We start from the raw sequence: 10661 nt of genomic DNA, 5'->3' as shown, positions 1-10661 counted from the left end.
ACTAGTAAGTGGGAAGTGGGAGAACCAAGACTGAATGCAAGTCTATCTGATGGCACGGCTTTCATCTTTCATTGGCATTGCCCTGCCTGCAACTCCCTTGGAATAAAACTATCTGGGAAAAGAAGGGGAAACTATGTGAGTAACTAAGGACTGTGGTTTCTAGAGCACTTGAGCCATAAACTCCCCGTGTTGAGGGCATGCTCTTGTCAGCCTCACTGTGTGCAGGCATTTATTTTGCTTGGGACCAAAGCTAAACATTAACCCACTTGAGCTTTGCCTTTCCTTTCCCATTTTCAAACTCCCATGGCTCCCAGTGGCTTTAGTCATGTATACCCTATCTATTATTATTCCCTTTTTAACTGCTTCTGGGCATGATGACTGCATGTTTGCAAACACCGTGGCATATTTGTGGTAATTAAACTTCACACCGACGTCTGGATCCAGGGCTTCCACAGGCCTCATGCTCCAGCATTGCCTGGGAGCCCCTCTGTATGCCTTCATTTGAGGAATCTCAAGTGAGTGCTTGTGGCTCCTTCTCCCCAGCCTCAGAGGGGAGAAAAATTGCTGGCCAGGCATTTCCAGAGGGCTTCAAGGGGATCAAAGAGAGAAAAGCAAACACTGAGGGAAAATGTGCTATTTATTCTTGGAACAAAGTTACATTGGCAGCTTTCTCCTCTCCAGTAATACTTGTTTTCCTGAAAGGATTACACTTGCATTTGCTTCCTCCCACAGGATTTAGCTGCCACTCAGCTCATGACCTGTAACTTCTATCTCCCGCCCCCTCCCAACCACGCTTTCAGTTTTCTCACAGGCTGGGCAAAAATTAAAGAGATTAAAATCATCCATGAGAAAAAGTGGGTTAGTGCAGCTGCTGCAAATACCCTGCGTCAGCAGCCCAAGTCAGCAGCTCAAGTCAGCAGCTCAAATAAACTTGGCCATGTGAGTAGTGTTCCTGGGCCACAGACAGGGAATCCCAGGCCTTTTAGGGCTTCCTCCTTAGGAAAGGAACGAGAAGGAGGATTAGGCTTAGTGGCGAGGGCTGCCAGGTAGAGGTGTCTTTCTTTGGGAGAGCAATTCCATTTGTGTTTTTCATGGCCATTTCTGCTTTTAATTAAGTAATTAAAGAAATTAAAGAAATTCATGGGTGGTTTTATGGCAGAGCAATTTATCGAGATATTTACCTATGTCTTGGTTTCTTCACTGAGGGTACTCTTTGCCTCAAAAAGGTAGCAAGACCCTGTCATGCCCTTGTCTTTGAGAGCTGTTTCGTTGCGGGGCTGAAAACAGGTTTTCCAGTAGGAGACATCCCTATTTCTGTTTTTGTTTCAGCTCCCTATGCACCTTGAGGAGAATCATGCTGCTCTGTGATGGGCAGGAGTGGGAGCTTTGCATTTCTGAAGGTGTGCACCCTGACTGGAGACTGAGGGAGTCTCTGAAAATGAGAGAAAGAACAGAGTCACTGGGGTGCCCTTGAAGTATGATCATCTGGACCTTGCTTTCCAACAGCACGAACAATGAGGGCAGCTGAGGGGCTGAAAGTGGCACTGGGGTAGAAATAACTAAACATTGAAGTCTGTGACCTTGAGAACCTCTGTGAAAAGAATCCCCAGGCCCAAGCCTTAGAAGAACTTGCCTCAGGGTTCCATGCTGTTTTGGAAAACAAGCCTGGATATGGTGACCAGGTAGACAAAGTCTCTTTGCATGCTCTGCGTCATGCACCTCTACCTGACACTGGACTTCCGTCTGACTCTGGGGAGGGGACATGCCCCAGTAATAACTGAGATTAAAATTTTCTATGAAATGAATAGAAAGCTCAGGGCAAATTATGTTAAATTAGAGAAGTAAAAGAAGCATGCATTTCTTGCACCCTAATCATGTGGTAGGTGGAGTGTGCAAACCTGAGACAGAGAGATGAACAAGAACCTATTGACCTCACAGGACTCGGATATGGGAGACGTAACAGGGTGCAGAGCTCTACAGTGAAAATGTGTCACAGATGCCCAGGACTCAGGTGGGGTTGCTGCCTCTGTTTGGGGGCAGACAAAGCTTCCCAGAATTGCTCACCTTTGTCCTCAGTCTTAAAAGATGAGCTGGAATTCCTTAGTGGAGGATGGGGGTGGAGTCAAGAACATTCTGTACAAAGGTACAGGAGCGTGAAATAGCATAACCTGTTTGTGAAACTGCAAAAAGGTTGACATGGCTGAAGCAGAAGATGGGTTGGTACTGAATGGTTGGGAGAGATATGTAGCGGCTGACCCTGAAGGACGTTGCAGCCCATGCTATGGAGACCTGATTTTATTTTGTAAGAGGTGGGCAACCCCTGAAGCATTTTAGTGATGCGAACAGATGTGTCTGTTACCAAGCAAAGCCAGTTAAAGAAGGTCACAGAGGAGGAATGATCACAAAGGTAGGAGGGGATCTAGGAAATGGAGAAGCACAGAAGTGAAAGGAGGAGGGGGTGTGAAGAAGGACGTGGCTACAGCAGCAAGTACTGCAGGGAGATGAGGAGCATTAGCAGGAGGCAGCCATGGGGGACTTTAATGAGGGCAGTTTCAGTGGCGTGTTGGGGACAAAAACCAGACTACCGTGAGCTGAGGATTGAAGGGGATTAAGAAAGTGAGGCAAGTGAATACCATTTATTTGAGAAGTTTGGTTATGAAAAGAGTGAAGTATAAATAAAAGTATCTGGAAATAATTAAAAATTATTAAAATATTTATTAAATTAAAATTAAATAATTAAAATGTCAAAAAACAATATATGTTGGCATGGACGTGATGAAAGGGGAATAATTTTACACTGCTGATGGGAAAGTAAATATGGAAAACAGTACGGAGATTCTTTAAAGTTCTAAAAGTAGAACTACCATTCAATCCAGCAATCCCACTACTGGTTATCTACCCAAAGGAAAAGAAGTCATTATGTGAAAAAGACACATGCAACACATGTTTATAGCAGCAGAATTTGCAATTGCAAAGATGTGAAAGCATAGTTCCATATCTTTGCATATTTAAGTGCTCATCAACCAACCAGAGGATAAAGAAAATGTGGTGTATGTACATCATGGAATACTACTCAGCCATAAAGAGGAACAGAATAATGTCTTTTACAGCAATGTGAATGGAGCTGGAGGCCATTATTCTAAGTGAAGTAACTCAGGAATGGAAAACCAAATATTGTATGCTCTTACTTATGAATGAGAGCCAAACTATGAGGATGCAAAGGCATAGAACAATATAATAAATTTTGGGGACTTGAGGGGGAAGGTTGGAAGGGAGGTGAGGGAGAAAAGACTACACACTGGGTACAGCGTATACTGCCCGGGTGACAGGTGCACTAACATCTCAGAAATCACTACTGAAGAATTTATCTATGTAACCAAAAATCACCTGTACTCCCAAAATAATAAAATAAAATAAAAATTAAAAAAAGGACAATATCTAGAAATGGGTCCAGAATCTTGAAGGTTTATTTAATAATTATTTATTTATTATTATCTAATAATTATTACTTAATATTAAACAATATCCTTTAATTATTAAATTTTACTTAATTATTTAATAATAATTATTGATTGGTAACAATGATTTATTATTCATTATCAAATAATAATACATTATTAACATAAACATGGGGGAGCTTCAGGTATGTTCAAGGCAGAGGAAGGAGACAGTGGGAAGATTAAAGAGAAGGAAAGAGGAAATAAGGATGAGGAGGAAAGGCCTGGCAAGCAGGGGCTTTGGCACAGAGAAAAGCCCCCCAGACCAAACTTCCCATGTGCCCAGGGAGTTTGAAGTCATAGGAAGCTCTGTTGCCCTGCACATCTCATTACAAGTAAACCTTATGCTTCTGGGAAGTATAGCAAGCCATTTAAAATAAATCAAGAGTATTGTATTGTTAATACATTAATCAAACCTGCTAATTTAACAGATTCCCAGTGTGGACTAAAAATGAAGCAAGTGAATCAGCCTTTCATTTATTAGCTCTTCTTCTGTTAGGATCAAAATCTTAGATTCTTCATTTACATCTACAGTAGATCCCAAACTCCATCAGATGTGTTCAGACACAGGAGACCGACTGGTTGCTGGTCGCGGACACTGGTTTAAGCAATGGAAATCACTCCGATTTGGGCACTGGGGACATGAACACATTGCCATCCAGTTGGTTTGATTAGATCTAGCATACCTGTGCATAAGGAAACCGTGTTCTAGAATTTGCAACCATGAAATCTATGAATGGAAGAATGGATTAAAAGCATGAACTATGCGGGTTTCAGAAATTTGGGACCCCTTCAATAATCTGTTCTGGTTAGTGTACACTCTTCAGGGAGATTAAGAGCTCGGTATGATTTGTTGTCTGTCCTGTGTTTTGCCCATTTATCTTTCAAACCAAATCACTCTTAATTTCTCAGGTTGACAACTTTCACAGAGTTACAGAAAATAAGTCTTTGAGGAATTTGGAAGAGTTGCAGGCAGTCTCATAATGAAACCCTAACATAGGGCTCAGTGTCCAGTTCAGGTATGCTATGAGGTTGAGCTATTTTAACTCAAAACTTATACTTTATTCCAAACTCTTATGTATCCTTTTTCTCTAAAAATGTATAGTTTTCTAGACATGCAGGGTAATTTTTCAAACAGGTCATGAGATTAAAATGTAGTGTGATATCTCAATTTTATAATGAGAGTCAATGGTATTTTCAATATAAAAATAGATTTATCTTATTTTAAAAATATTTATCTTATTGACAACTTTTTGCGGCCCATGTATATTGTGACTTGGGATCTAACTTGAATTTTCTTAAAGAACAACTATTAGCATTTTCTCTAGGCATCTTTCATAGTTCCGTTGTCTCATTTTTTATCATTGAAATCTCTCAATTTTACAGTGGCTTCCTGTTGGTTAGAAAGAGAGTGTTGTGTATGGATGATTTGTTTAAGTTCTGTTTATGCTTATTTAACCTTGTTAGCCAAGATGAAAAATGTAGAAGAGGTGTCAGCCTGGGCATGAGAATTCCCCTATAGAAAATAGAAAAAAAAATAAAGAAGCAAATTTTATACTAAGCTATGTTTATGTTTTAAATGGTGAATATGTTTTGATTAAAAACCTATCATTAATCAGAAGAAATGTTGTATTGGGCAGCAGCAACTGGCTAGAGAAATATTTTGATTTCTACTCTATTGCCCCAAGCAAGACAAAGTGTTTGATCCAGGAGTATTTAAATCTCTATTCTTCTGACTAGGGCCTGTGAGGAAATAATTCAACAAGATAAACCCCCACTCCACAATAGAACAGATAAAGAGGATACTTAATTGCTGCTTTTTACTCAATATTTCATCCTTTTCGGGCACATTACATTTAAAAAGGTGAGAGAAGTGATGAGAACATGTGGAAACTTAGCTGTGTGGCTTATATTCCCTAGAGGTCTTAGTTCCATGAAAAGTTCTTTTGAACGACTGACGTGTGCTCCTGGCATCCTCTCATATTCCTTTGTACAGGTAAAACTTTGCTTTCTGAAAAAAAAGACAAGGCCTGGAGAACGTGGGTTTTTATAATTTGGTTGTCTACATCTGGAATCTAGGACTGCAGAGGGGGTATAACTGTCAACATTGATTTATTTGGCAATTAAATGCATCCATTAGACCTTATAAAAATTTGGCAAAAGGTTGGACTATAAATAAGGCATACTGCATTCTTTGACCTTTGGTGTCTAGGCGATGTTAGTAGCTAATACTATCAAATGACTAGTTTCATTTCAGCAGGCTGTCGTGGAATGAATGAATGTAAATGCCACTTGGTTAATGACTATCCGTGGACCTTAACAGAAGTCCCATTACTTTGCCAGGAAATGTAATACCAAAGGTGAGACAACTGGAGAAAGAGAGAGATAGAGAGAGAAAGAGAGAGAGAGAAAAAGAGAAAGGTTGTCCTCATTTCTCCAAACTAACATTTTAAACAAGTATACATTTTCTTTTCAAATTCACTTTTGTTAAGATGAATAGATAGGAAATAACTGTAGGGCAAAGCATGAAAAAAAATTTTCGGCCTCCTGATTTTCCTAAAGTGACATCATTAATGGTGACACATTGGTGTCTCTGTCTGCACATCCATTAGCCTCTCATCAGGCCATGAGGCAATTTCCTTTGTCTTTCATTATTTGCTTTACATGCCTGCCTTGCTCCATCACTCCTGGAGATCATTTACTACTTCTGGAATTAATAAGAGCTGGAAGTTTGAAGGCTTCTTGTAAATAGCAGTGCCATAGTGGAAGAAGGCAAGGATTCTGGTTTCAATCATTTGTACTTTCTTGGGACAAAACCAGATTTCCTACCTTGTGGGGTAGGAAAATCCCCACATCCTACCACATGAGGATGATTTCAGTCACTTACGGCAGAGAAAAGTCCAGGGATTTTTGTCTGTTTGACATTGTCTTAATACTCCGCACACAGGAGAGCAGTTTTGATGTTCTCCTTTTCCTGGTGACGTTTGAAGATCATCTATTACTAGACTGAGCTCCTTACTGTTTGGAATTTGTCTCTGCATTTCCTATAGAAGTGGCTTTCAATCCTAACAGCACATTGTAATTATCTGGAAAGGTTTAAAAAAAAGCCCTACTCATAGAGATTCTGATTCAATTGGTCTGATCTGGAGCCCAGCTTGTGATTTCAGAACATGCCCCAGCTGAGAGCTGAGTGTATCGTGCAGCAAGGTTGCCTATGGTGTCTAGGACAGTTCTCTGTGAAGGGCGAGCAGTCTCCAGGAAATGACAGTTAAGCTGAACTGCATTGATAGACACACGGGTTACATAGTGCCAGATGATTTTGGGTGAGGACATATCGGGACATATTCTCACTGCAAGCATCTTGTGGTGCCTTTGGCAGCTCATCATTTTTGGGTAAACCATAGGAGTCTAAGGGTTTCACCTTCACTCAGCTGGTGACTCAGTTTGTTTTTGTTTTTGGCTGCCTTTGGGTGTTGTGCCTTAGTTTGTTCATCAGTAAAATGGGGGTAATCAAAGTCTGAGGTTGTATTTCTGTTTGAAGCAAAAACTAGTAAATATTTGCCACAATGAGCTTGTGTAAAATCATCAAATTACTGCTATGCAAATGCAGATGGAGTTTTGGAAGCAGAAGCAATAGGAATGTGGCTAGAGTCTTGTCTAACAGTAGCTGATCGGTGGTGCTCAGTGGTGTCATGGGTGGAACACGATCCTCCTATCAAATCTTGTCATCACGACATTTGCGCCACTGAGGGAATGCCACAGCCTCCACTCACTGAGAATTAAAACTATCACATCTTTGTATTAGCTGAAGGGGCCCTGGCTTCTAGACTTTTTCCATGAACTGGATGTGCTGTTGGCCACAACATCAGTGTGGGCGGATTGTGGTTCCCTGCTCTGACCACCAGCGCCATGGGAGCCCTGTGCACTCTGCTGGCATTACCTGCCCACATCTGCAAGGCTGCTCACACTGAGAGCCCCAGCTATCAGCCTTGGGCCGAGAACCGGGCATGAAGTGGTTACTTGAGATCCTGAGCTGCAGATCCTAGTTTCCTGGGATGAACCCTTTTCTTCCTCTAATTCTTCATCTCTGGTTAGAACTGGAGCTGTACGCTGTGCCTGTGCACATGGACTCCCTACTCCTCTGCCCTTCCTGTATCAGCCTGTGCGTTCCAACCTCTCCTGTGTTCCCTGACCACCTCCACCCTGAAGGTCTATCCAGCAGACCCTATGAGACCAGGATAGGGAGCTTCAAAAGGTAGCCATTGAGAATTTGCCCTAGTCTAGCAGAGGCTTAATGCCCCTTTCTCACATCTGACCTAAGGTCTTAATTGATATTTGGCACTGTTCCATAAATATGTCTCCCTAGAAATGGAAAATAGCTATTTCCCTCTTTTATAATAATTTTGCCATTAATGAAGCAATGGGCCCTCTCATCTTAGAATAAATCACCCCAGTGTTCAGTTTCTCTTAACAGTCTGTGGGTTATCTCTCCTCATCTCCTCTCAGCCTAGAGTGTCAAGCCACACACGGTACCTTCAAAAAAGAGCAATCAAAGACAACTTATTTTGTGGGTAGGAAAATGAGGCACAGAGAGTTTTGATGACTTGTAACCATAACAAGCGAATGGGACTTGAAGTGAAGATTCTTGCCTCCATAGAATGGGGGTGGGCAGAGGTGGTAGACAGGAACAACAATGCAATAGAATGTATACTTAAGAAACGGGCTACAGAGATGAACAGATCTTCATGTTGTTCCAGTTTTCTTATTTATAAAATAACAGAACAAGAATACTTAGCCAATCAAGATGCTGTGTTGATTAAAAGAAATGTATGTGGAAAGGATTGGCGTAGAGTTCGGTATCTATGAGGCTCTCATTAAAAGCATACACACACACATGAACACACGTGTGCATGCAAGCATGAAGTTAGTAGCTTTGAGGGGTTCCTTTCCAAGGTGCAGCCATAACCCATAGGTCCTCTGACATAGCTCCTGGTAGAATCTACCTCTGTAGGATCCTTAAGTAGTCATTTATCTCAATGTTGGCCTTCATGCAGGGATGCATGTTCTGGAGAATGACCCGTAGGAACCCCAAGAGGGGCTCTCAGGCTAGCAACGGATGCACTTCTGTCCTGCTGCACAACCAGAAGTAGATAATCTAGATGGCAGCTCTAGTCTCTCCATACCTGTGATTCCTGAAATCTGTTGAAGTGTAGGGGGTTCAACAGTATCTGCTTCATTTTAATAAAATGAGGCAATGTTTATAAGTGAGACACAGCCCAGTGACTGGCACGTACTAAGTACCAACACATATTAGCAGTTCTTAGTAGTGGTAGTATTTTTAAATCCAAAGGTAGATTGGGTCAGAGTGCTTCCAGGTGTCCTTTCTCCAGCCTGGGGGCAAATAAGTAGGCTCAAGATTAGGGCCCATCTATAGAAAGTCTGTGCTCACCTATTGGCACCTGTGCCCTATCTATTTATTTCTTTACTAATTAGTTCATTCAACACACATTTACTGAGCACTGATTGTATGTGTGCTCCTGTACTCGGCACACAAACCTCTGATCTCTGATATTCGTACAGGGCTGTGCCCTTGGCTAACACACGTAGTATTACATCAGGAAACCCCGCTTCTCATCACAGCCTCTCCATATGCCTGCTGGAAAGCTGGAGAGTTAGGGGGAGCTCTGATGATGGCCCTTGCATGCCAGAGTGTGGAATTTGGAGTCAGGCAAGTATGTATTCTTTTTACAGATAAGGAAACAGAGGTCGGAGAGGGGAGTACTTTCTCAAGTTCAGAGAGTAATTTAGTGCTGTCTGAGGCTAGAACCTTGTTCCCTGATTAGTTTAGGAAACAAGGGCCCTTTCTACCAGACCAGTTGCCTCTGCATGAGAGTGGAATAACCTGTCTTTACGTTTTCATCTACAGATAGGTGTTGTTTTCCTTTTGAAGAGCAGCATTTCAAGGTAAAATGAAGTAGCTCTTGAGTAAGTCTGAAACAGTGGCTCTCATCTCTGGCTGTATGAGATCATCTTGAGAGCATCTGAAAAAAAACTGATGTGGGAGCTCCACCCCAGACAATTACAGAAATATTTGTGAGGGTGGAGCTGGGGCCACCTATTGGTTTTTAAAGCTCCCCAGGTGTTTCTAATAGACACCCAGGGCTCCATAGTCTAATATACAATCAGTCCAATATACAGCATAATATACAGTCAGTGGTCTAGCAGCCAGTGCTTCCAAATTCTAATGCACATTTGAATCATCTAGGGATCTTGTTAAGCTGCAGATACTAATCCAGTGGTTCAAGTGCGGCCCGAGGGTTTTCATTTCCATAAAGCTTCCATGTGGTGTTAGTACTGCCAGTCTCTGGACCACACTTGGAGTAGCAGCTCCAGAAGGCACTCTGGGATTCTAGTCATCCACGTGGTCACTGGCTACTCTAGCCAGAGGCCTGGGAGTCACCTCTCTCCTTCATCCTCTCCTCATCTTCTCCCTTTCAAGCCCTTGGTCATCAGATCTTGTCAGTTCCATCACACTGCTTCTAGGAGCTCCTCTCCTTTCCTAACGGACTGGCACAATATTTTCCTCCCTGTTCCCCACCATCACTCACTGCCCTGGCTGTGCTCTTTGCTAGACCGCCTCCTGAAGGCTTTCTTATTCCGTCTTCCCTCTGTCCAAGCTTTTATTTTGATTCTGTAGAAGGCTCTTTCACTCCGTGACCCATCTCTTAAGAGACCACCGCAACCCGGGACCTGTTCTCTCCCTGCACTCTTCCCCTATGACGATTGTATAGGAACAGGGTGTCCCTCTAGTTGTTTCTGCGTTTCCAGCCCCCAGCTGAGCGCCCATCACTCTCAATAAAATACTTGTTGATTTTAACAAACAAAACCCCAACCCTGAAAGAGAAAGGCCAAACAGAGGCCTCAGCTGCATTTCTTCCGATAAAAATGAACATTCCTTCGAGATTATGCATCAGGCTTTAACTTCCCACTCAGAAAAAAAAAAAAAAAAAAGTTGATCAAATTTAACAAAGTAAGTGGTTATTTCCTGTCTGAGTTGAGTAGCTGAATACAGGCTCAAAGCAGGCGACGGGACAGGAATGAGAGGATGGATGCTGGCAGGGGCTTGGAGGTCTGCTTTCAAATCTGGGCTCGTCCCAGCAGGGG

General features: G+C 42.2%; 1 protein-coding gene across 2 annotated transcripts in view; it reads left to right on the top strand.

Moving 5' to 3' along the window:
* Nucleotides 1-2163: 2163 nt before the first annotated feature.
* The window catches only part of EVA1A (eva-1 homolog A, regulator of programmed cell death), a 77402-nt gene continuing 68904 nt past the window's right edge, over nucleotides 2164-10661 (top strand). The window contains exon 1 of one of the 2 annotated variants that reach the window (NM_032181.3): nucleotides 2164-2407. The gene's annotated coding sequence lies outside the window, so the exon portion shown is untranslated. Of the gene's footprint in view, nucleotides 2408-10553; nucleotides 10627-10661 lie in introns of those variants that run through there. The other variant, NM_001369524.1, reaches the window with a different exon arrangement.

This window comes from Homo sapiens, chromosome 2 (genome assembly GCF_000001405.40).
Source record: "Homo sapiens chromosome 2, GRCh38.p14 Primary Assembly".
Lineage (NCBI taxonomy): Eukaryota > Metazoa > Chordata > Mammalia > Primates > Hominidae > Homo > Homo sapiens.
This window is presented reverse-complemented; position numbering and strand designations above follow the sequence as displayed.